Here is a 27,112-nt window from a genome sequence, read left to right on the forward strand (position 1 = left end):
AAAATGTCATGGTCTTCAAATATAACAATTTATACAGGATTCCATGATTATAAACTGTACATAGAAAGACTGCTTGCTTAGTCTCTTTACCAAACCCCCCTAGTCTAGAAGAGTTTATGTAGATTTTTAAGGGAACATCAGCTTGATTAACTCTTTGCATGCTGAAAAGGTTAATTTCATCACCATGAAACTACGTAGATAGTAAGGTTTTCCAATTTTTGCTTGTGTATCTGTCTTTCTGCTTGACTATGAAGCACTTCCTTGGGATTGGATATTTTCAGAGCATGTTTCCAGAAATGTGAGTCAAATCCCAAGACAAGTATTTGCTGTGTGATGTTGGACAAGTCACCTAACACCTCTGAATCTCTGTTTCCTCATCTGTAAAATGAGGATAAAAATATCCTACAGGGTTGTTTTAAGGATGAAATCAATTGAAACCTATCAAAGTGCCTGACACTCAATAAATGGTAATGAATGAATAGTTAAGTTCCAAATTGGTGAATTGATACAATCATAAATCTATTGCTTTTTTCTTATATCACTAGACCTATTCGTAATGATATAAAGAGGTGTACCTTAAATCAATGGTTGCAACACTTTGCTATGCATCAGAATTTCTTTGTTAAGACACTGATGGCTGGGACTCACCCCCTGAGAATTTATCTTTCCAACAAGTTCTCAGCTGATGCTGATTCTGTTGGCTCAGGGACCAAGTTTTGAGAACCACTGCCTTAAACTCTCAATAAAGTGTGCCTGTATTTGGACCGCAGCTTTACAGCATGAGAGCATCAGATGGGCTCTGAGTCTCAGGTGTGACTTTGAACTTCTTAGCCCCAACCCCCAACCCCTCACCACCACCATGCTTTGCTTTGTTTGCTTGCCTTGTACTTGAAGTGTCAGCCAGAAAGTGGACTTTGTTTCCTACACTAATTTAGGGCCTTATATTCTCTCCAGCCTCATTGGCAATAGGATGAGGATGGATCACAAATTCTTTAAAGGGCCAAAGGAGGCTCCTCCATCTTGCCTCTGCTATTTCATACCAAACAGACTCATATTTGAGTCTTACATCTTTGAAACCCCAGCCAGCCCATTCTAAGTCTAGGTGACACAGAAACCTGCTGGGATGTAGGGTTTTAATTATTCATATCTATGTCTTATCTGTCATATGAAAGAAAACCCTATCACTAGCCAAAAAAAAAAAAAAAAAAAAAAACACAAAAAACAAAAAAAACGAACTAACTGGCTGTCTCAGGAAGCACTGGCATTTGAAAACCTCCCGGAGACAGCAGTAGATAGTGACTAAAGACACAGACTTAGGGTAAGATCGACTTGGGTTTGAACTTCAGCTCTGAAACAAATTAGATATTTAACTCAAAACAAGTAATTTAACTTCTATTAGCCTCAGGCTTCCCAGCTGCTAAATACAAATACATTACCCACTTCAGAGGGTTGAAAGATTCATTATAGTGTCTGGCATAGAGTAAAGCCCTTGTATTTGGTAGCGGCTAACAGCAGTAGTGGTGGTGTGGTAGTGGTGGTTTTTACACTCATGATACATTATATTTCTATTTTATAGAAGGGTACCTTTAAAAGAAAATGTGATTTCATAAGCCACACAAGAAATCAATTTATAGTAGTCTCATCCAGACCATATAGGACCACATTGTCTGGTACAGTAAATGATATGCGCATGATAAGGTCTCCATAATTGTACATTGAATGAAAGGGGTATATCCATTATCTGCTAAAATATCTTAGACTATAACATCAAAAGACAGAAGGGATGCTAAAGCAATGTGTACATCTCTCATACATATTTATAAGCTCTCTACTGCCATTTCAGCCTCCCCAGCATGAACTGTACTTGAAGAAGCCCTGCTCCAAGGGTGAGTAAGTGGTAACAAGATGGGCTCATGAGAAACACAGAGAGGGAAGAGCATCAGTACCGCCACAACTTAGTTGAGCAACAGCTGCTTGAAGGAGAAAAATGCAGAACATTTTTGCTGCAAACTGTTTAGTGTTGCATTTTGCTTTTCATTTGCTACTTGAACTTAACCTTTCATTCAACTTGTGATCCCATGAATTCAACCAGAGAAATCAGAAAAAGATCTTTTTCTGCAAGATGTCTACGTAGACAGCTTGAATTCTGGATTTCATCAACTACTAGAGAAAGAGTACAAAAACCTCATGTGTTATAGCTCTGGCAGGAAATTCAAAACTGAAGCAAATAGGAATTTTAGCTCTCATGAAAATAGTAAGCAAAGATTAGTTAAGGATAATCGGTTGATGCTAAGGAAGATAACTGCTTAGTAAACAAATCCATGAAATATTCAGTGCATCTAGAACCACATTTTTTTTTAAACATGAAAAACTCCAAAATGTATGAAAATCTTAATCCTTACCCTTGACTTGTAATCATTGCTCCTCATAAAGAGAGACTCAAAATAACTCAAATTCTTTGGCTACGAATAACTCTATTTATCTGCAAAAAGCCACATGAACCCTAATTCTTTCTAAGCACAAAGAAACAGAGGAGAGGATATATAAATAGTAGCAATCATTGGAACAAAAGTTGAAATGAGGGTAGAAATAGAGACTCCCACCCTCTGTTCTCCCTTCTAATAGGCACAAATATTCATGGAAGAATAAGAAACTTCAGAGCAACATGGGTCTCTGGACAAGTCATAATTTTTAGAAGTGAGTGGAGACTTAGAGGGAACAGTAAGACAAGAAAATAGCAGGGAAAGACCATAAAGTAACGGACTTGTCTAGTTAATAAGCATTTTCCTGGAAATGAATGGAATAGGATACAATGGTGAGAATACACACCTAATAGCTAACATATCCATTTCCTATATATTTCAAGTCGAGTGATAATCACAGTGATGGCCTCATTTATTCAGCACTTACTAAGTGCAAGGCACTACACGAAGGAGAGGCAAAGGCAGATAATGCTTTGTCCTTGATTTTAAGAAATTTACACTCTAGGAGGGGAGATAAGACAATGTATTCAATGTATGTAGATATCTATAATATGCATAGTAGAATACATAGTCAACAGCCAATAAATGTAGGCTAGCTAATTATCGAGCAAAATGGTAGCTAAAGGTTTTGGCTTTAAGGAGACCAGTTGTATACAGCAGTGGAGGGGATATGGGGGAGGGAATGAATTAGGAATGAGACAGCTTAAACAAACAGAGGAAAGAGCTATGGTTTAAATAAATGTGGTTGAAAAACTTCAGGTCACGAAAAGCTCAAGCAATATGGGGTCTTCTAACTCTTGTGATGTTACAAATGTGGGCAGACAGGACAGATAAGAAGTAATTTACAGAAGCTATTCCAAGTTTGTCTCATGTAATGAAGCCAGTCCCTTAGCCTGTTCAGGCCAATCCTCTCAATCCTATTTCCCCAGGAAAGAGACTCAAAAATCTAACCAAGAGATTCTCTTAAACCTCAGCTCTAATCGCTAAAGGAAAAGCAGCAGCTGTGGAGATCTACAAATGTAGCTGTTGCCAAGATAAAAGCAACTGAAGGTTGCTGGTACAGGCAGAGGGGAAATACCACAGTGTGAGCAGTTTTTTAGGTCAGCCATCAAAAAGGAAAAGGATCCCAGGAAAGGTGAGCTGGGTTCCACAGGGTCTCAGCAGCCCCTGGCTCACCAGGTGGACAAAGGTAATGATGCTGCTGCTGCCCACCATAGAGTTCCCTGTGCCCTTTGATACTTCCCAGGGCCACTGACCTGGCTGTGTTCCAGGAAGAATAATTTAGCTCCAATTACTTAAAACTGCTTTATTGGTTTCATAGAGAAAAAAAAAAATCTCCTAAGCCGACTTTTATAAAACCAGACAATACCATTCAGGGGGCATATATTTCCTCATTTTTTTAAAGAAACAATTGGAATTTAAACAATGACAAAGGCCAGGCTTACTTCTTTCTGTTCAGTGAAAATCTTCCAATTCAGTGCTTCCAATAGTTACTATGACCACAAACATTTAAATAGAAAAGATCCATTTAGAGATTCAGACTGAGAAAGTTTTGCTCCCAATAGTTAATAGGACCACAAGCATTTAAATAGAGAAGATCTATTTAGAGATTCAGACTGGGAAAGTTTTTCTTTGGGGGCAATCACTCAGAAAATAAAACAACAAGGGGTAAAGTCCTGGTTCCCCTTCCTTCACTATCTTCTACCCCCAAATCTGCCCATAACCAGTCAATAACCCCTCAGATGCACGCTAATGGCAGTCACCCAGAACGTACATCTGCTGTGTTTATGAGACTTGCTTTGACATAGAACTGCCAAGTCTAGAATTATTCACTTCAGTGCTATCACAGACTGCTCCATCCCAGGGCAGGAGCATTGGGGAAGTTCCTTATTTGAAGAAGAAAAATAAAAGACTACTCATTTGCATTTTTTAGTCCAGCTTCTTTTATTAAAACACAAACTACCGGACCATGTAAAGGTGTTAAGTTCTATTTTGAACTTTATTGGGAAACTGTATGACAGGCTCAGGTAGAAGTGCAGCTACCTACAATTCAGACTCTGAAACAATCAAGACAAGTCACAGGGAATTTAATGGGGACTGGGCAGCCACAGATGGGCAGAGGATCACTGCTTAGGCCATCGGGGTCTCAGAGAACAGTTCAGCAAGAACCCAGAATGTAAAGGTACACCTCCCTGTTACTTTTAAAATTTCTTTCTAATAAGGATTATAAAACAAGTACCTCAGATAACAATGCATTAAAAAGACCAAGAAATGCATTTAGAATGAAAAAAAAAATACCACTATAAAAGTATAAGTGCACAATGGAAATTTATTCTCATGTTCATTTGAATTCTGTATTAAAATAAATAGCAAGGCCAGCACGCAGTGGCTCATGCTGATAATCCCAGCTCTTCAGGAGGCTGACACAGGCAGACACCTGAAGTTGGGAGTTCGAGACCAGTCTGGCAAACATGGTGAAACCGTGTCTCTTCTAAAAATACCAAAAATTAGTCAGGCATGGTGAGGTGCTTGCAAGTCCAGCTACTCAGGAGTCTGAGGCATGAGAATTGCTTGAGCCCAGGAGGCGGAGGGGTGCAGTGAGCTGTGATCACGCCACTGTACTCCATCCAGCCTGGGTGACACAGCAAGACTCCGTCTCAAATAAATAGCAAATTGAAAAACAAAACAGAAACTCTTTCTCACTTGTGATAATAAAGTCCTTGCTGAAGGTTTGCCTTTGGACTTCATTCACTCATGCACATAAACACAGATGCTAGTCCTGAACACGCTATGGGACTGGCTAAAGTAAGAGCTCTCATTTAGACAGATGTATAATCTAATTTCAGTTACTGCAGCACTTAGAAGTTCAAGTTAATTGGTAGCTGTGGAAGTATGATACCAGATCCAAGGAAACTATGGTGTTTGGCATACATTGGTATTATCATGGCCCCTGAGAGCACAGGTGAGAACTTCCTATGATGTTCTTCAGAATAACTCTACACCATCCTTGGACTCTCTTTCAACTCTTCCAACACATGTTTCTCCTCTCCTTACTTTCATTCCCAAAAGAACAGAGGGTAAAGTTCTTAGCAAGTAGAAGATGTAAGTGTTGAGCCATTTACTTTTCTATTTCTACTTAGAAACTAAAATTTGAAGACTCAAGGATGGTAAGTTCTATGTTGTGCTATGTATATGTGCACAGTACAGTTAAATTATACTTGTATTTAGCGTGAGTAAATGGAACTAGACTCTCTTAGGAGAGGGAGGGAAAAAAGAGGCAAAAAGGGATGGAGAAAGAGAGAGAATATGAAGAAACAAATGAAAAATAGGAGGTGTGAATTTTTTGTCTTTTTCTTTTGTTGAGACAGGGTCTCACTCTGTCACCCCGGCTGGAGTGCAGAGGCGTGATCTCGGCTCACTGCATTCTCCACCTCCCCAGCTCAGGCCATCCTCCCACCTCGGACCACAAATAGCTGGGGCTAAAGGTGCACCATCACACCTGGCTAATTTTTGTTTTGTTTTTTTTTTTTTTTTTAGAGACTGGGTTTCACTATGTTGCGCAGGCTGGTCTCAAACCCCTGAGCTCAAGCGATCCACCTGCCTCAGCCTCCCAAAATGCTGGGATTACAGGCATGAGCCACGGTGCCTGGAGGAACTGTGAATCTTAAATCTAGTATTTCTTTAGTCCATGAGTTCACCATAACTCTTGTAATATGCACTGTAATAAGCCATGAATAGAATATCTTTTCATTACTTATTTTAATTATAAGCCCCTGTGTCAAACTTTCCTTGGTTACCCCTGCCTAACACAGGTCTTTAGATTCTCATACTATTTACTGCCTATAGGATTTCCTGCCACACAATCTTCCTTTTGTCATTAATTTTGCTCATTAACAGAAACTGAGCCTACTCTCCTGTGAGGGAACTCTGTTTTGAAGATGCTAGATGTAGTTAAGACCTTTGGCCCACTGCCCCAGCTGAACAGCCGAGGCAGAAGATAACAGGCGCCATCTCTCATTCTATTCCCTGCATGTGCTGTTGCTTGTTCTGGGGAAAGGGGAAACCAGGAACATTCAGTAACCACTAAAGGAATACAAAGATCACACGGGCAGTTTTTAGAATGAAGACCAATTCTAAAATAAACATTGCCTCAGAAACCTACTGTTTCACCCCACTAACCTTTGACTCAATTCTCTTAGGATTCCCCAGGGAGATCCCAGCCTGTTAATTTTCCCCAGTAGTTGTCAGCAGGCAGGGCCAGCAGAGCTACGTGCATTGTTATCAGCTCAGCCTGTGACCAGGCACGAAATGGCTGTGCTTGGCTTGCGCATCTCCATATCCACGTGCAGTCCATGATGTCATGGAGGCCGTGTTGCCTCCTGCACAGCATTGTATACTATCTATCAAAGTTGAATAAATAGCCCAGTTTTCAGTTCCATCCCACCTTCTCCAATACAATCAGCTAGACTTGACCACTGAGTACTTTGTGAATTGTGAATTGTTTCAGAATTGTGAAAATCAAGCCTTAGAGTTTAGGCGATTCTTCCCTTCCCCCAAGATGCATGGCACATCTGCCACAAGAAATGTGAGAGAAGATCTGAGAAACCTTTAAGTCTGAGTGCTTCCCAAGATGCATGGCACATCTGCCACAAGAAATGTGAGAGAAGATCTGAGAAACCTTTAAGTCTGAGTGCTTTATGCCTTTTGATAACTGAATGGTTCTCCAGGAATTATAGCTGTCTTTAAAGACACAAGATGGATTACATCTTCACCTGCTTGAAACGCTGTCTTCAGTAGTAAACTGCTTTCATTACCACAAAAAAAGACAGATACTATCTTCAAACTCAATAGAATACTGAATTTGATATTGTCTAGTAAGTCCTTAATGAAAAATAACCAAACCAGTGTTGTTTTTTAATAACACTTTCCAAATAAACCAGAGTTAAGAACAGCAGTTAGGAAACCGTTTGCTGCCATTTCACTTGCAAATCCCAGAAATAAAGAACATATAACATAAAAATAGCTCTTGCCCCAGTTCTTCCTGGCTCTTGCTTACTGATAAGGAGAGGGAAGATAAGATGCAAGTTGTGTTTAATGTTAATTCCTTGTTTTTATCCTATTTTAGAAGAACTACCCCCCTACAATGCAGTTGTATAAAAAGTGGAATGTTATTATAATACACGTTTATCTTATGCTTATGAATTTTTAAATATAAGAAAAATTTTCTTTTGTATTTTTTGATATTGATGGTTTTGAATTTTCCAGAGAATTCCACATTTGGTATTTCTGCTAAATAAATACCCTGAGTCTGATCATCTCCATAGTTAACTTTACAACTAAAAGATTTTGTTTCCTTGCTTAATCTAAGGACAGCTTACAAATTTATTTTATCAAGACTATTTATAGTATATAATTTAGCCACTTAAGAAATAGTACATAAGAAAAAAGACTAGAAGGAAATATGCTACATTGTTAACAATGTTTAATCCCGGGTATTGAGGCTATTCATGATTGCTATTTTCTTCTTTTTATAATCTGTATTGCTAATTTTTTCTTTCAATAATCTACATTTCTCATAATTTTCAAGATTTACAAACCAACAAATGAAAAACAATGGTATTCTCCAAAAAGTTTAATTGAAACAAAAACAAAACCTTATCAAAAAGTCAACACCTTTACTTCCTTCTCAAAGACCTAAAAGGGAGGAAAATCAGTGATCATTTTTTTTTTAAACCTAAGTTTAGCTTTTGTGCCACTGTCTTGAATAGCCTGTTCCCTCGGGATCCTTTAGTGGCACCACTAGTTTTTATTGGATTGTCATTGCCCATGACCTTGTTGGACAGAGCTAGGAGATTGGGCAAAGTTCTTCCATATGGCTTTATCACTTTTAGTCACTATGAGGTATCTGAAGCCAAAAATAGTTTGGAAAACATTGCTCTCATTGAGGAAAAAGACAAGCTGGCTGAACAACCAAAGGCTCCCCCTTCTAACCTACTCACAAAAGACCATGAAGTGCTCGCTCACCTCCACGGTCATAGTGCAATATTCCTTTGTTTGTCGATTATAAGGTGCACTTCAAACCTTCCCCAACATCTCCCTCCAGGCTCCTTTTCTTAATGTGCCTACAATTAGTCAGTCGTATTTTGCCACCTCACAACTTTAAACAAAGTTCTACATTTCAGACACAAGTGGAAAAATGAGGCCAGTAAGGATTTTCTTCCTTCCTTCATTTATCCTTCCTGTCTTCTCAAGATTCCTTTCTTGCCCTGCCAAAAAGGACAGGGCAGAAACAGAAGCCAGTTATTTCGGAGTGTTTTTCAGGGCAATTTAATGTGGGCATCGTGGTAGGATTCAAAGATCTTAACAGTCTAGTAACAGCAACACACACATAAGAAGTTCACAAGAACGAACAAAATATGTGCCGGGCTGCTTATGTGAGAGCCCAGGGAAGTAGCAGTAAGTAGAATGCACGTTTCCAGTAGAAATAATCTGAGGCATGGTGAGCACTGTAGTCTCCTTAGACCTCTGGTTTAGCCATCCTGCATGTGAAATGTCTTCACACACTTCCCTGAGAATGACACCCTCTGTTGTTAAACACAATTTTCACAGGAAATTTGAGTTCTGAGTTCACATACATAGATTTCTAAAGTCATCTGGGAGCTGAGAACTGCCTCTGTGCATGTATCTATATACTGGATTCAGTCTACATATACAGTCAGTAATAACCCTACTGACTCTGGAAAGATTGTATGCTCAGAGGTTTCCACTTGCTCTATGTCCCCAGAAGGTGTGGCATCTACTGGCTTGAGGAGAATGACCATTCCAATTCCTCCCTTGGGGACTCCTAGCTCATGAAGCTCCCTCAGAGAAAAAAATCCCTGTCTATCCAACTGTGCAGTAGCTGGAGGTTAGAACACTTGCACATTGGCCCCAGCTAAATGCTTTGGACTCTATTGGATTGCCAACCATCCTCCCGGAGAGATTTCCAGGAGCAGTCTCACCTCACCTAATATCCAAGGTCCCCTTGATCACTATCAAAAGTCCATGTTTCCCAGACACTTACTATGCTTTCTTTTTCATTTCCTTGAGATGGAGTCTCACTGTGTGACCCAGGCTGGAGTGCAGTGGTGCAAACTCAGCTCAGTGTAACCTCTGCCTCCTGGGTTTAGGCGATTCTTGTGCCTCAGCCTCCCCAGTAGCTGAGATTACATGTATGCACCACCACGCCTGGCTAATTTTTGTATTTTTAGTAGAGATGGGGTTTTGCCATGTTGGCCAGGCTGGTCTTGAACTCCTGTCCTCAAGTGATCCACCCGCCTTGGCCTCCTAAAATTCTGGGATTACCGGCGTGAGCCACCGTGCCTGGCCCACCAGACAATTACTATGTTTTCTGATCACCCTACTATTCCTATCCTCATCACTGCCCTTGGTCACTGGTGATTACATTCCATGGCCCATCGTTTTTACTCCACTATTGATCCTGGCTTTCTTTGCAGCTTCAACATTCAGGTAGTGATGTTTCTGAGGCTCTGGCCTCTTACATCCTTGACCTCCTTCACTCCAAGGCTCTTTCTCCAATCCACTTCAGCCATACACTGGTGTGGGCACATGCTAAATTTAATCACCAACAGCTGCGTCACCTCCAAAGTAACTATTGTGGGTATTTCCAGTTAACCATTCCCTTGTGTCTCTTGGCTCACTTGTTCTGGTATTCCATTCCATACAGACCTTCATATCCAGACTCCGCCTATCCATCACCTCCCTCTTATCTTCCACTATCGATCACCTCCCTCTTATCTTCAGTTTCCTCCTTATCAGCTTATATTCTATGACCTCCTCTGTAATCACTTCCTTTATATGCTTTGCTCTCAGCATTTCAGCCATACCTTCAATATGTATAAGGAAATCGAGTTGCACAGTTGAATAATCCCAGAGAAAACCACCTGACTTTGCTGACTGGGCATACTTCAAATTTGTTACTATGAATCTTGAATGGACCCTCAACAGTGCCAGAAGGTCTTATAAACTTACTTAGCAAATTTGCTTTTTCAGCCAAATAAGAAAATTATTTCATACCTAATCTTTCTCCATTCTTTAAACCCTCTTCATTTTTCACTTCCAGCCATCCCTCATACTTCATAGAGAAAATGGATACGATGTGATGAGTACTACTTCATCTCTGACTGCCACTCTGCCAACCTTCTGAATCTGTTCCAGGCACCCTACTCTCTCTCCTTCTGCAATGGCAGAAGCATCCCTGCCTTTCTCTAAGGCCAACCCTTGAATGTGGGTGCTAACTTCCTCACATCATTCTGGGCTTCTCTTGCCCTCTCAAAAACTCAGCTTTTGCCATTATCTCCTGTCCCTTTTACATTGTCAATTTCTCCATCTCTACAGTCATCTTCCCATCAAGGAGATGCTTTTCCTATCCTTCTCATACTTAAAACATGCATATGTATACACACACACACACACACACAAACACACACACACACACACACACCCAAAACTTCTCTCTTATCCCACTTTTCCAGCTACTATGTCATTTATCTGCTGCATTTCACCATAAAATGCTCCAATATATTGTTTTACTTCTTTATCTTGCTCCTCTCTTTAACCCACCTAGCAAGACTGCCAGTAACCTACATCTTACAAAGCCATTATGTAGATAGGGCATGCAATCATATGTCAGGTATTCCTTGAGCACCTCCCTTGTATCAGACACTGTTGGTTGGCCACACCCTCCTTCACAAATCACTTTCCTCCCTAGACAATCATGCAGGCTTACCTGGTCTTTCCCCTGCCTCACTGTGTTTTACTTCTCAGCCTCTCATTTGGTTTCTCTTCCTTTTCTAGATCTCTAAATGATGGGGTGCTCTGTGCTCAGTCATCCTCTATTCTTTAGTTTCCCTCTCACTGAGTTCCATTGGTTTAAAATTCAATACACTCACAGATGGCTGTCTCATGTCTCAGATTTAGGCTCCTGATTGACATCCCTACTTGTATATCTGACTGACTTGCTGATGTAGCTACAGCTGGCTGCAGAACAGACCCATCAAGGTCAAATTTAACTTCACCTGCTGCCATTCTTTCTGTTCACTTTACTTCTAGAACACTGGCCACCTTTCTGAGCCTAACACACACCAGCTTAGATCAATCCACAGGGTCTTTGCACTTGTTGTTCCTTCTGTTTGATAAACCTTTTTTTTTTGGAAAAGATTTTTTATTTTAGTAATTCAGATTATAACTCAAATGTCATCTCTTCTGAGAGGTCTATCCTAACCACCCTAAATAAATAAAGCAACTCTTTCTAGTTACTACCTACCCACCTTAGCCGAGTGTACCTTCTTCACACATTTATTTGGACCTGCAGTTATCTTATTGGCTTATTGTTCACATGTTGATTGTTTGACTATCTCCACTAGCTATAAGCCCTATTCTTGCAGGGTCTCATGCTGTCTTATTCACTACTGTAACCCTGGTGTGTAAAACAGTGTCTGACACTAGGGAGGTGCTCAAGGAATGCCTGATGTCTGCTTGCATGCCATGTCTACATACATGGTAATGAGAAATAACAGTGGTTCATAAAGACATCTGGCTCTCCTCTTTTATAAGCACCTGCTGCCCTCACTCTCCCAATTTGATTGAGACCCTGTGATGTCAGTGGCCTCAATAGCACTCCTCTCCAGCTAAAGCATATGCCTCACACCTTGGTTGGAAGTGTTAGTCAGAGTGGCTCCCTTGGATCAATTTCTCTCTACAAATATATACCAAGCCCAACTTTGGCAAAGAGCTAATAACATCTTTCCAATTCACACATAAATTAACTACTATTATTTACTAAAGCACCCTATCATATACCAGTCAGTTTGAGGTTCTTTTAAGCATTTGTCACATGTATTCTTAAGTTCAGATTATATTTTATTGGTGTGATTTATGATTTCCTTAGAGTAATTTGATCTAAATCCTTACTAATTGGTCTTTTAAAAATCCCTTTAAAAACAAAGCTATTTGGGCCAGTTGTGGTGGCTCATGCCTGTAATCCCAGGACTTTGGGAAGCTGAGGCAGGAGGATCGCTTGAGCACAGGAGTTCAAGGCAATGAGCCATGATCATGCTACTGCATTCTAGACTGGGTGACAGAGAAAGCCCCTGTCTCTAAAACTAATCAAAGGATTATCAATCAGTCAAAGCTCTTTTAAGTCACATGCCAATTTGAATGAAGAGTTCAGCCATACTATCTAAAATATAAAAATTCTTAACCATTATACTAAGTAATCAAATTAGACCAAACTTAAAGGATTAAGCACAACTCTACTATTCGTTTCTAAAATTTCTATTTGGCATCAGTACTCTCCAAACTTCTGAACTAGTATAATAAAATAGTACATTAACTGATTCCTAAAAGATATCTAAAATATCTAGTGTTTTTAGGATCCATAAAATAGTTTTGATAGTTATAGAGCTTCTTAACCACAGTTTCAAATCTTGTTGCATCTGGTACTCTGTGTGTACATGCGTGCCTATATGTGTGCCTGGCAGAGTGAGAGACAACTGCGCTTTTAGGCTTACTTTATTTGCCTGTTTTGACCAAAATCTGAAGGAATTAAGTGAGGATCTACTTTTATCAGAAACAATTCTTTTATTCCAGGGAGCTAAAAGAATAAGAGTGCTCAGCTAAAAGGTCAAGAAACTTACAGTGGGACATCTATTTCATTTTGTTTTTAATAAAGTTGGTATGAAATATTTCTTACTATGTGAAGAGAAAAATAAAGAGTACTATCTAGGGCCTGGAGCGTTGGCTCATGCCTGTAGTCCCAGCACTTTGAGAGGCTGAGGCAAGATGACTGCCTGAGCCCGGGAGTTTGAGACCAGCCTGGATAACATAGTAAGACCCTGTCTCTACAAAAGATTAAAAAGTTAGCTGGGCATAGTGGTATGCACCTGTAGTTCCAGCTACTGGGAAGGCTGAGATGGGAGGATTGCTTAAACCCAGGAGGTTGAGGCTGCAGTTCACGCCACTGTACTCCAGCCTGGGTGACAGTGAGACCAGTGTCAAAAAAAAAAGTACTGTCTAAAATACTCTCTTTTCCTTCTAGTGACAGGATATCCCGGGAGACAGGAGCTGGATTTATTGAAGCTTAAAGATTTTTTTTTGAATAAAAAATCACATTTAACCTTTAAATCTAATCGTGTAAAACCCTTATTTAAATAGAGAAACAATTATATTTCTTGATTTCTACCTATGATCTACCCATGAAAGAAAAAGGAAGATTTACACAGAAAGATTATCAATTTTTTTCTAAGAAAGATTGGTGAAAATGAAAAATGCCACACCTGCTTAAATTATTATTAAAAACAATAGACCAGATAGATTTTCTGAATTAATACAATGTAAAAATCTTTACTAGTCTGAAAACTCATGCAGGTTTTTATCAACAAGAAGATGAGAGATACTGGACATATTCCAGAATCAAGACATTGGATCAATTCTATTTTTTGAAATCTTTCTTCTGGGGTTTTCTTTTCTTTCTCGACTAAGGAAGCTGTTCAGTATTCCACAGAATTAATGTGTACCTTTACCTTTCGAATATATTTTCCACTTGAGTTATCGGAATTTTGCTACTAACAATTATTCTACTTACCAAAAAGCAGGGCAATACAATAGTATGAGTGAACTGCTCTCGGGAGTTTTCACCTGTATTTGTGGTTAACAGTAATAGTCCTTTGATACACTAGAATTTCAAAGTGAGAGTTTTAAAACCACTTCTTCAAAGTTTCTATGGTGAATGCTTTATTAATTGGAATGTTTAGGGAATAGAATTGTGAATTTAATTTTCGGTTTAACTCAAGACTTTTCAGAAAATACCTTTTGTTTAGATCTTGATGTTGAAAATATTTCATCAATGTATTATTCCACTTGTATTTCATATAGTTCAGTCACTTTATTCAGTAAGAAAGGAACTGGCAGGAGTTTGTAGTCAGGGATATCATTCATTGTAGTGGAACAAGGTATGGGGGAAGTGGAAGAGATGTAGTCCAAGAAATATTCTGAGGATTATTATTTACAATATATTCCTAGTTATAGTTCACTTTTTGTCCTGATTTTCCATTCTTGTGAATTAGAAGAGAAAGGTCGTTAATCCAGTTTTATTGTTAATTTGGGTCAAGTAAGTTGAAGTTTTGTACATAGTTCTTCAGACTTTTTTTTTCATTAACCTAAAGCATTTTTTGGGAAAATTATGTTTTGTGAAAACTGCTTTTTCTTATTGGAAAACACATACACACGGTTTCAAAAATAAAACAATACAAAAAACTTTAAGGTTGAAAAATGTTACCATGAAGAGATAATCATTATTTAACATTTTGGTGAACAGCCACCCCTATATATGCATAATTTCAGCTTTGTAAGCAGAGAAGGTTACTTCTCACATACACACAGCCTACTTGATATGCCCCACAACATATCTATACTCTCAGGATGTCCTATGTGGTCACTTTTAATGATTCAATAGTGTTCCATTATCCATTTAACCTAACTCCATAGTGAAGAGCTGGAATGTTTCCAAATTTCATTAAAAAACACTGCTAGAAAAAAACAAAAAACAACTTTGTACATATATCTTTGCACACTTGTTTAACTATCTTATTTGGGTAAATTCCAGGAAGTATAAACTATATTTTGAATTATATGCCTATTCAGACATAACCAAGAATAATTCCTATGAATAGATATTTTGTACATTTTCTCGTTTCAGAAAACCGCACTGATTGTTATGCTGAGCTAAGATTTATATCATCAAGAGACTAAATGGCTATCACTATTTAAAACTGTGTAAGAATTTTAGGAAGGCAGAAAGCTTACTGTCCCAAATGAGAATACTTCTATCGCACGTGAGCCTGCAGGGGTTTGGCCAAAAGCTCCCCATAGGATCTTAATGAATACGATTGAGTGGTCAGGGCTGTGGTTTTGCATTTCATCAGGGAATGTCCAGGGACAAGGATGGAATGTCAGGTGGAAAGGAGAGTTCCTCATTCAGCACTCTGCATACCTCCAGCAGCTGGCTTCAGGTAACACTGAGAGGATCCCCACACATTGATTCATTTCTTAGCAAACCTTCACTGAGCACCATCTCTCAGGTACCATGGGCGGTGATGGAGCCCTCGCCCAGAGAGCACACTCAGTCTAGTTGATGATGACCGCAGAACCAGGTGGATTCACAGAGAAAAACTCTGTCTGAGGAATTTGGGAAAGGCTTTACCCGGGGACATTAGAGCTGGTCCTGGAGAGTAGATAGGGTGGGCTATCCTGGACATAGATGACTTGTTCTCTGTTCATCCATTGGATATTCCCAAGCCGTTTTCTTTTGCTACCCTTTCCAGCAGAAATGCCAACTACTTACTTTTCCAGTCTCCCTTGCAGCTGGGGTTGCGGCGGGCGGGCGGGGGAGGGGGGCGGGGGGCGCAATACAACATGCAGTTCTGGCCAGCGGGATATAAACCCAGGTTGGTTGTGACTTCTGGGAAGGCATCTGCTTTTTTTGATAAAGGCACTGAATAGCTGGCCCTGTCGTTCACTTCTTTCCATCTTGAATGCAGATTTGCAGCATGGAACGAAGGGAGCGAAGGCCAACATCACTAAACCGAAATAGCACCAGCAGCTGTCTACCTTCAGATTGCTTGTTTTGTGGGGGAAAAAGAAACCCCTCTTTGTTTACCTCACTGTTAGTCAGACGCACTGCTATTTGTAGCTAAAGACATTCCTAACAAATATATCACTCCTCCAACCACTTGTATCTGGATAGAGGCAAGAAAATTAGAGGAGAATAAAGGGCCCAGATAGGGCAAAATAGGGAAGATTCCATAGAATTGAGAATGTGCAACTTAAACAACTATCTGAGGTTCTCAACACACGACCCTTTCTAGGTTGGGGCGCGTGGCTAAGTGTACAGGGCAACACTTCTCCGACTGTGATGGCCCCAAAGGGCATATGAGTATGTTTTCATTAGAAATTATAAGGGCACAGCCCAATAAGAAATTCAAAACATTACAATTTCCTTAAGTCACACCAATGTCAAAAGTACCAAAACAAAACAACCTTAACATGAATCACAGAACAAAAGAGTAAATATGATGTACATATCAAAAATGAGAATGAAAAAGGCAGTACAACCAGGAAAATGGAACATATGCATATAATGTCCTTTCTAAATCCCTTTTCTTATAGAAAAACATCGTAAGTTTTTATAAAAAGATAGGATTAATTTATTTTTAAGCTAACAACAAAGGTGTTACCAGCCCACTGTAGTTAAAAAAGAGGAAGGAGAAGTGTTTTTTTTTTTTTTTTTTTTTTTTAACTTTAAGAGAAAACAGGCCGGGCTCAGTGGCTCAAGCCTGTAATCCCAGCACTTTCGGAGGCTGAGGCGGGCAGATCACTGAAGGTCAGGAGTTCCTGACCAGCCTGGCCAACATGGTGAAGCCCTGTTTCTACTAAAAATACAAAAATTAGCCGGGCATGGTGGTGGGTGCCTTTAATCCCAGCTACTTGGGAGGCTGAGGCAGGAGAATTGCTTGAACCTCGGAGGCAGAGGTTGCAGTGAGCCAAGATCACACCATTGCACTCCAGCCTGGGTGACAGAGCAAGACTCGGTCTCAAAAAAAAAAAAAGAGAAAATGATTAAGGCTGCTCAAGTGATCTAGAAATGATGTAAAGAGGTATCTCAAGAGAAGAGTTAATAATAACAATGGATATATTAGTTTGCTGAGAATGATAAACCATCATTCTCAACAAACTAACACAGAAACAGAAAACCAAACACCGCATGTTCTCACTCATAAGTGGGAGTTGAACAATGAGAACACATGGACCCAGGGAGGGGAACATCACACACTGGGGCCTGTTGGGGGGTGGGAGGCTACGGGTGGGATAGCATTAGGAGAAATACCTAATGTAGATGGTGGATTGATGGGTGCATCAAACTCCATGGTACGTGTATACCTAAGTAACAAACCTGCACATTCTGCACATGTACCCCAGAACTTAAAGTATAATTAAAAAATGGACGTAATTTGTTAGAAAAATAAGACAATATAGCCATAGAGCCTACTAGTAAACTGTTTCCTAATGTAATGAGAAAATAAGGTAACAATTTTTAATGTGGACAATTTACAAAACTGTAAGTAAATGGGGAAGAACTGTATGTTTTAAACAAATAACAAAAAAAAAAGGAAACATAAATTCAGAGACATTTTCTATATTTCCAAAGGGTAAAGACAACATCCACCTTTTGTGGATTTTTTTTTGAGAACAAATACCCCCAAATTACCACACACTTAAATGTGAAATATTTGTGTAATACATTTCAAGGAATGAAAAACACAGACTTTAAATTCCAAGTCAAGGCTTTGGCTATTATTTGCCATTTTCCCTCATCTTGTATGGTGCCTAAAAAATAGATGCTAAAATATTTATTGAAAAAAGGAAAGAATAGAAAATGAGATGAGGGAAATGAAAAACTTCTTATATTAGCAAGATATTCTTTATAAAGATCTTTTAGCCTTTTCTGTTACAGAGATATCATTCAATGTAAAAGATACATAAGTTGCTAAATGATATTCAAGAAATCAAAAACTATAAAAAATACTTTCTTATGAAGTTATAGATCCCCATGCTTTGAAGATTACTCCCAAATTCCACTTTAAATTCTATTAATCCAAATCTGATAACACCTATCACCATTTTCCTTGAGCAGTTTTCATGTTTGTTGTAAAATAAATCTCTAAAACAATAAAGGGCAATCAATCTGCTCTTAAAAGGGAAAATTGAATTATATGATATTGCATGACATTATAAGCATTTAACAGTTATTAGAAGCATTTCTCTCTTGGTTGTCTAGTGTTTAAGAAATACCTGCTGTTGACAAGTATTGAGAAACTTTAAAAGTCTCAACCAAGATTTAATCAGAAGTATACTCTTTAAATGGAACGAGAGAAAAACATCAGGGACTTATTTAGCACTTCTAAAACAATTTACGTTGACCATTTCAGGAAATTTTTCCAATGATCCCCTTGAGAGACGGATTATTGTTGTCTCTATCTTATACATGAGGAAATTGACTGAGGTTAATTAACAAGCCCAAGGCCACACTGTTAGTAAGCAACAGAGGTGAGACTTAAACACAGGAAATCCAGGAATCCTACTCCAGAGCTGACTGACTCCTAACCACCAAGATAAACTATGATTGTGTCAGCAGCAGTGAGAGTGGTAACAGTAATAATAATATGACAATAAATTACCATATACATACAGCTGTTGAAACAACTTCACACACATTTAATCTCTGTAAGTTGTACCAAACCTTAGTCTCTCACCTGTTAAGGGCAAAATACCTGTGTTTTAGGACTAAAATATTAGGCCAGGCATGGTGGCTCACACCTGTAATCCCAGCAGTTTGGGAGGCCAAGGCAAATGGATCATCACTTGAGGTCAGAAGTTCGAGACCAGCCTGGTCAACATGGTGAAATCCCGTCTCTACTAAAAATACAAAAATTAGCCAGGCTTGGTGGCACGCACTCCCAAGCTACTTGGGAGGCCAAGGCAAGAGGATAGCTTGAACCCGGGAGGCGGAGTTTGCAGAGAGCTGAGATCATGCCACTGTACTCCAGCCTGAGTGACAGAGACAGACTCTGTCTCGAAAAAAACAAAAAAATTAAACCACTGTACTTACAAATTCTTTGTTAAAGCCCAACTGCTCTTTCTCTGTTTTTACCTTAGTGATAATGACCCTGCCAGGAAAGGAGGCACTTTCAGCACCTCCTCCAGGTCTCTGTGATACAATCTGGTTAGGCTTAGACCTTTCTTTCCTGCTTTCACCATGGATATGTGCCTGAAATGGTTATTCTAGCAGAATAAGAGGAGATACTAGACTTTTCCTGTTTAATACATTGAAGGAAGAAAGAAGGGGGAAGAAGAGAGGCAGGAAGTGAGGGGGCTTGGGGAGGAAGGGAAGGAGGAAAGAGGGGAGGCAGGGAGGAAATCACTCAGGATTCAGAGTAACTTGGTAGCCAACTGACCTTGAGCAAGTAGTATAACTTCTGTGAAAATGACACTATCCTTTTTCACAGAGTTACAAGGATCAAATGTGATAATGTACATGAAAGTCCTTTGTAAATAATAAATCAATATGTACCGCTTAAGACTTCAGAACTCTTATTTTTTCGGTTTCCCCTTCAGTGTCCTTGGAGGTCCTTCTCAAAGCACTGTATCCCATCCCTTTATCCAATGAAAAAACGTGCTCTATTATCATTTTTATTCTTACTATATTTACCTAATTATAGTACTGCGTGAACATTTTATTTTACTCTCCAAGGAGAGAATATATATCCTCCTTTCCCAACATCGTTCTAAAGAGATTAACCTTGTTAAAATTTTCTGTTACACTTAAGTTAACAGAGGCAGAAATACCACAAACATGAAGTCTTCAGGGAGAGACAAGCATTAGAGTTTCCTGGACCCTGGATTCCTGTTAGATGTCTATTACTGAGATAGATGGCACAGACTGCCTTACATAACCGTTCCTACCAAATGGGAGCTTGGCGTGACATCTGACGGAAGACTTGCTCCTAAAAGAGTTTGTTTAAATTTTTCATCAGACTGCCTTTATGAAAAATTGAAACAGAATATTCTCCAAGTGGGGGAACAGTTTGCTAAAAAGAGGATTAGAATTTACAATTACCTTCTTAACTATCTTTATAGGACTCTATGCTTTCTATGCCTAAAATGTCAAGCAAATGTTTGGCTTTGAAATTAGAGAAAGAAAGAAATGAATTCTTCCTCTAGCCAGAGAAGGAGGCTTTCACTTTTACATGCCTTGGTTGGCAATTTCCCATTATTAAAAGCTTTTCTCCTTCAGGCAGTGGGGAAAAATGTGCTAAAACAACAATCGTTGCCTTGCCTCTGGGGTGATCATCAGCACACTGCAAAAATGCCTTTTGTTTTCCTTCTGAAGGTGATTAGGCTGGTAGGGTGATAGAAGCAGAACTACAGCAGAATTACCAAGCTGGGAACCCATTCATTTCCCCCTGCTGCACTGCAGATCTTTCTGACCCAACTCCTGTGTCCTCAGTGACATTTAAGTATAAAAGGCGAGCTTTCTCTTTAAAATGGATGCAGCAGTTGAAAGCACTGATGAGGATAACCATCGCTTTCAGAAATTAAATATTATAATTCTCTTGATCCCCAATATTAAAATGTTTCAGTCCTGGGTGTTTTCAAGAGAAGGGGGAAAATCTGTATTTCAGATGGTGGGAGCCTGCTGTGAATGCAGATGGAAATTTTATGGCTTGTCTAATGCTTGTCTATTTTAATAAAGAGAATAAATTACAACAGCAGTGCAATTTCATTGTATACTCCACGTGTTGCAATAATGAAATACAAGTAGCCCTGTATCCTAGAATTGTGTATCTCACTGCATTGTTCAGTTTATTACAACCTTGCCTCTGAAATTTATTTATCAAGAAGAGCACATTAACTAAAAGAAGGGAAGAGAAAATCTCTAGGGGCAATACATGATGCTATACACTAGTGCATGTACACACACACACACACACACACTTTCCAAGAAAAAGAACAAAAGTATTGTCTGGCTACCATGAGATCCAAATGACGGAGCTTCACATTTCATGCAACGGCACATAGTCATGGAGAAGGTACGTATGTGGGGAGTATTTGACTTGATCTCCTATCACCCCACAGAGGCTGATAGATACCAAGGCAAACATTGCTTCTCCAAACTCAGTGCGGGGGGTGTACTGAGCTGTTTGGCTTTATTCATGATGTTTATTGATTGTTCTTACTAACTTTACATGTATTGATCATCTACGCCCTACACAAAGGGAGTATACACCACACAAAGTTAAGGTATAATCATGATGGATTGGCAGCAATTTTTTAGCATAAGTGGAAATTAAAATAGAGCCAAATGAAAACAAGAAAGAAAATTACTTGAAATATTTTTGACAGGCTGGAAACTGACCTGCTCCTCCTTTAATAACAATTAGACACAGAATGCTGTCATGTGTTTTAGAAGCAATAGAATGGAAATCTGCATGGCTGAGTTTTAAATCCCCATTCACGTACTTCTGAATAATTCTCTATGGAGAAAAAAACTCCTCAGATAAAACATAGTTTTGAAAATCCTTTTTGACATGTCAGTCTGACATATAACCTCTAAGAATTAACATTAAGATCCAACCTGGTGCTGGAAATCCTAACGCTGACTGCTTCAAGTAGCAGGGGGATACTGACTATAGAAGGGAATAAAGGAACTTTCAGGGCTGATGAAAGGTTCTACATCTTGTGGAAGGAATAGGTTAAATGACTGTGTGCATTTGTCAAAGCTGATTAACTATACCCTTAGGATCAGTGCATTTGACTGTATCTAAATTATACTTCGGTTTAAAAAAAAACTCCCTAGAAACAGTAAAAACTAACAAGATCTAAGCACAGAGTTCCTTTCAGAATTTTCTGGACATATAATTGTAAAGCAAATAAGCAAATAAAATGAACATCTTTGGCTGCACATTTACACGAAAGCTGAAGGATTCCTTGTGCCACATGTCTCAGATTCAGTGCCACACTTTACTAGGACATTACCATAAACAGTTTATTGTTATGAGATGAAAGTAAACATTGCCGAGAATGCAACTAGAAGCTCAACATTATTAAATTGCAAGTTCAAGCTAACGTTCTGGGCTATTCATTCCTGTTATATTCCCCATTCTGACAAGAGGGACTATGGGACTTCCTAGTCCTATCTGAAGTCAATGACCCAGCTGTGGTCTACAGCACAAAAGGCTGAGTCTAAGAAGGCCTCTTGCCTTAGAATATATGTATGCCTCATTTTATGATAATTGAATATGTGACCTCAAACACAGATACAACAAGACACAATTATTCTTATTATAAAAAGATTTCTTTACATTGGTAAATGTCATTGTATATCTCACAATCATTCCATCCAGGGAACTTCCTGTTTAACATAACTATTTGAGCAGTAGATACCTGTTTCATCTTAAAACAAAATGAACTGTGAACTGTTCTCTCTCATGTTTGTCTACTTCGACTCTTATCTAAGATAAACTCTTATCACGTTAGATATCTGTTTATTTATTTCTGCTAGAACTATTAACTGCCTATACTGATATACAATGTCAGGTTAATGAAATTAAACATACAGAGAGATTTACAAACACACATTAACACAAACTACAAGAAGAGTTAGAAAATTAGTCTCATGGATTTTGGGGTAACGGCATTCTTTACTGGTAATTTGAGATTTTAATATTAAGGTGACATTTTTCATTAAAATATTATGTACACTTCTTCAGAGGTATTTTATAAAAAGATCAGCCAAGTGCATTTTAATGTTCTTGCAAAAATCTTTAAAATGTAGCTTCAAACTTTAAACAATCTTTCAATAAAGGTAGCACATTTCAGACAAGTGAAACCTAGTCCATGTTGTTTAGACTTAGCTTGGCAACTTTTCCAAGCATTCTTACATCTAAGTGTAATCGTGCCTATTTTTGTTAACAAAAAGATTTGAAAGGAAAAACTATTCTCATGTAAAATTGTTTTTCAAGATGCTTCCTTTTTCATTTCTCTAAACTTCTGAAAATTAAACTTTTAATGCTATTACAGCATGTGAAAAAGAAATGGATTATATTAATCATGCAGAGCTTACTGTGGATGATTTTCTTCTAATTTTCCATTTTTTAAAAATCGCTATGAATAGCATTGAAAAATTAATTTAAAAAGAAAAAATATATAAAAATCACTATTCAAATATTGCTCTCAAAGTAGAAGAATGCATTAAAACATGACACTGTTTTGAAGGCCCTATCATGAATCCAACAAATACTTACAGCGCAGTAAATGGGAGAACACAATTATAACATCACAGTTCTTATCACAAAGATTGCCATAGTCTAGATCTGAGAAGGCTTTTAATTAGTATTTCTAACATTTATCATGCCCAGTGAATGACAGCTTAGACAAAAATCAGTGGCTTCAACACTTCTCAAAATTATTCAGTAATTATTCTCCAGGTTTCTAATTCATCAGCTTGGTAGATTTCCGTGTTCTCGGATGTTCCAAATCTAGAACTTCAGCATTTGTGAGCTAGCTCTGAAAACTCAAGCTAAACATCAACCTGAGATAACATTTCTTACTTTGCAAACATACTGTTAATAGTTGAAAGTAATAGGGGAAATCGGGAGGAAAGGAGGGGGCATAACCTAAATAAGTGGAAACCAATCCCTGTGCATTCCATTCTCAATACAAGGTATCACCACATATTGGTTACAGACACTCACACATGACATCACTGACAGGTTCTTTCGGGATCCTTCCTTTCTCTTCCAACCACATTCAGTAAGTCATCATGTCCCATTAATTTTCAAAGCATTTCTATCTGTGCTCCCTACAATATCTGCCACACTTCTCAGTTTTCAAGACTCCTTCAATCTACACATCTGTCTCATCTCTACCCTCTGCCCTGGTAGATGTGCCCCTTCATAAGATCTCCAAAAGAAGACATACGAGTGGCCAACAAACATATGAAAAAACGCTCCACATCACTAATCACCAGAAAACTGCAAATCAAAACCACAATGAGGTCCACCTTATACAGTCAGAATGGCTATTGTTAACAAGTCAAAAAATATCAGATGTTGGTGAGGCTGCACCTTATACATTTTCTATATCAACTGTAAGACTATTTTAATTATTTTAAAGTTGTCTGTCTCTCTTAATAGGCTGCCAGTTCCCAAGGGACTGGAAGCATGTTTTATTTTTTTGTACCCCTGGAGCATAAAAATATTTGAACCAAAATGTTGAAATATTGTTGAATCAAAACATGTATGTTTCATATTCACTGCACTACAACAAATACTCAAATGTTTCAGAATTTTGTTCTTTTTATGTCCTTCTTATGGGGTAATTCTCCAGTCAAGATAATTCTACATACTTGCTAGTATCTAAGGATTCAGTCCCTAAGAAGCCAACTGTTTATTAAATTTGTTATTCTGAACTATATGAAAATCAGCCTTTCATAAATTTTAACACATTACATAACTTGTTCCTTTCTGGTATCCAAACTGATATTAAAATATTTCCATCTGTTCTAGTGAATTTTAGTGAAAACTTCTCCGATGAAGAAGGTGAGAAAAGAAAGCAGAAACATAAATAGAAGGGTGGAAGCCAAGTGGAAGTAGAAAAAAGAGAAAGCAATGTAGACCATAGGGTTGTTCCTTAATCAATATTTAGAATATAATTTCTAAGTGTGAGGCATAAGGTAATGGGAAATACTACAATGGAAAACACAGACGATAGAATATTAGAGGGAAAAAGCTTTCACATCTTTATAATTCTACACTTTACCGCTGTTTATAAATGTTGCAGTATATCCACAAATCAGTTAAATTCATATATTTCAAAGCCAACCAAGAGATAAAACTAAAAGTTAAAGAGGAAGAAAAAAATTTATGTGAAACAGAAACAAAGTTCCCATGAAAATGGTCTGAATGGGCTCTCAACTGCCTTCTCCCCAAAACAACTGTGACTTTGGCCCCTTTTACCAATTGTGGCAACAACTGTGGATGTACTACATCAATATATTATGATCTAGACAATCCACACATGAAATAGTGTCAATTCTAGTTATCTCATGATGGCTAAGAGAGGATTTAAGGGGTATCACGATTCTCTGTCTTATGAAGACCAGCTAAAGAAACAGGGAGCGTTTAACTTGAAGAGAAGCAGCAGCACCAACATATCACTATCTTTATCTATATAAATAGCTGGCATATGGGTGGCCATGACAGGGTGCTAGGTTTAGTCTCAAAATAAGAGAGCATGTTCTAACAATCAGAACTGTTCAGCAATGGGGGCTATGTTCAGAGATAGGACATTTCCAGTCACAGGCAATTCATAAGCAGAGACTGACAAAGCATAGAGCTGTTGTCAAGGAGAGGCTGGCTCTGCAGAGGCCCCGGCTTACTGACCTCAACAGTCCCTTCCATCTCTAAGATTCCTTGACTCTAGAGCCTCTTTGGGAATTTTCCATACAACTCTGCCCTTCGAAACCGATGTATTTATATAAATCCTATAGATTTAAATTCAGATGTCTACAGTAGCTTTTCTTTTCACTTAAAATAAATGAAATCATCCATTTACTCACTCTAATGAAGTGACTGAATCATGTGTTTTCATCTGCAGCCTATAAAGTCATTAAAAATGCATTAAATATGATTTGAGTGATTGGTATAAAAATAGAGGCATGATCAGTAGATTTTTTTAAAACCAGTATTTATTGTAAAGCAATTTGAAATCATGTTTGTCATCTCCATCATATGAATTTGAGTAAAAAGTGATCCTCTTGCACATGCAATATTTTAGTTACATAACTTTGTAGCATCCCCCATCATTTTCTAATAAAACAATGGTGGGCTTTCTCTGACTGGGACAGGAAAAAATGAAACTAGAATTAAATTAGAAAGTAGTAATGTTCTTTATGTCTATTTATGTCCAATATCTCATCGGGTAGAAGGTGGCCAGGCCAGGGGCCTCTTGTGTGGGGAGAAGATTTAAATGTCCGTCCCTTGGCTAAGGCAGTATAGGCAGGGGAAAGTCAAAGTTGGAAATAATCAAAATAAGAATGCAAATGAATAAGAAACAAGATCCTGGGAGTTGAAGAGAGATAAAAACAAGGCAAGAATTGGGTCCTGGGTGAGACCCTAAATAATGAAAGCAGGAGTTGGTGTGCCCAAAGCTGAATTTTATATACTTTCATATAATCGATTCACCATGACATGACATGGGGAAGATGTCACTGTACTTAAACAGTCAGGAGATGGTAGGAAATTTAGGTAGGAATAAAGCCTATTGATGACACTGGAAATTACAAAATGGGAAATGGACTCCTAGAGGAAAAAAAGTGATCTCATAGTCACAGATGGAAGGCAAGGTCACGGAAGGCAAGCAAGGCTGAGATGGTTTTAGAGACAGGTGGCATGGAGGATCTCTCCCTTGCTTTACAATTTGCCCCACCACACTCCATGAATTCTAATATGCTCTTGGAGTGAGGGATATAGCCGTCCTTGTTCTAGCACTGAAAGTGGAATCCTGGGAAACCTTTCAGTCCTGGGCAAACCAGGCCAGGTGCTTACGCTAACCCCAGATGAACCTGATGAAGCCTCTTCTCTCATCAGTTGAGAGTCACTGGCCTAAAAGAATTGCAGATGAGTTAATGAAGGCTGGAGGAAAAGTACAGAGCCCTGGGCAGAGAGCTGTGTACCCACTATCATTTCTTCATTCTACAGGACAGTGTCAAGGGAGCTAGAAGAGGACACACTGTGATTTGTAGTCCTGCCCAAGTGCTCCTTGTATGCCTTGTGCTCCAAGTATCCCTTGTGCTCCTACTGTGTCCTGCAGTAGGAGCACAAGGGATACTACTGGAGCTGGGAAGGACTCTCAGGACCAGTGTCAGGGTCCTCGAGATAAAACAGACAAGGAAAGGGGATCCGGCGGGCAACCTTAGGGGCCTTGCCAACATTCCAAATCAATACCTGTGA

At 38.7% G+C, this 27,112-nt stretch overlaps 1 protein-coding gene across 4 annotated transcripts in view, besides 1 other annotated feature; it reads right to left on the reverse strand.

Moving 5' to 3' along the window:
• The window catches only part of ANK3 (ankyrin 3), a 707,231-nt gene that overhangs the window by 320,860 nt on the left and 359,259 nt on the right, over positions 1-27,112 (reverse strand). The window lies entirely within an intron of this gene.
• Positions 11,149-11,238: a silencer, noted in NCBI's record as "silent region_2388". NCBI's record gives its function as "represses an Ori minimal core promoter by ATAC-STARR-seq in GM12878 lymphoblastoid cells {active_cell/tissue: GM12878}" and the evidence as "EXISTENCE:reporter gene assay evidence [ECO:0000049][PMID:35858748]".

This window comes from Homo sapiens, chromosome 10, assembly GCF_000001405.40.
Source record: "Homo sapiens chromosome 10, GRCh38.p14 Primary Assembly".
Taxonomy (NCBI): domain Eukaryota; kingdom Metazoa; phylum Chordata; class Mammalia; order Primates; family Hominidae; genus Homo; species Homo sapiens.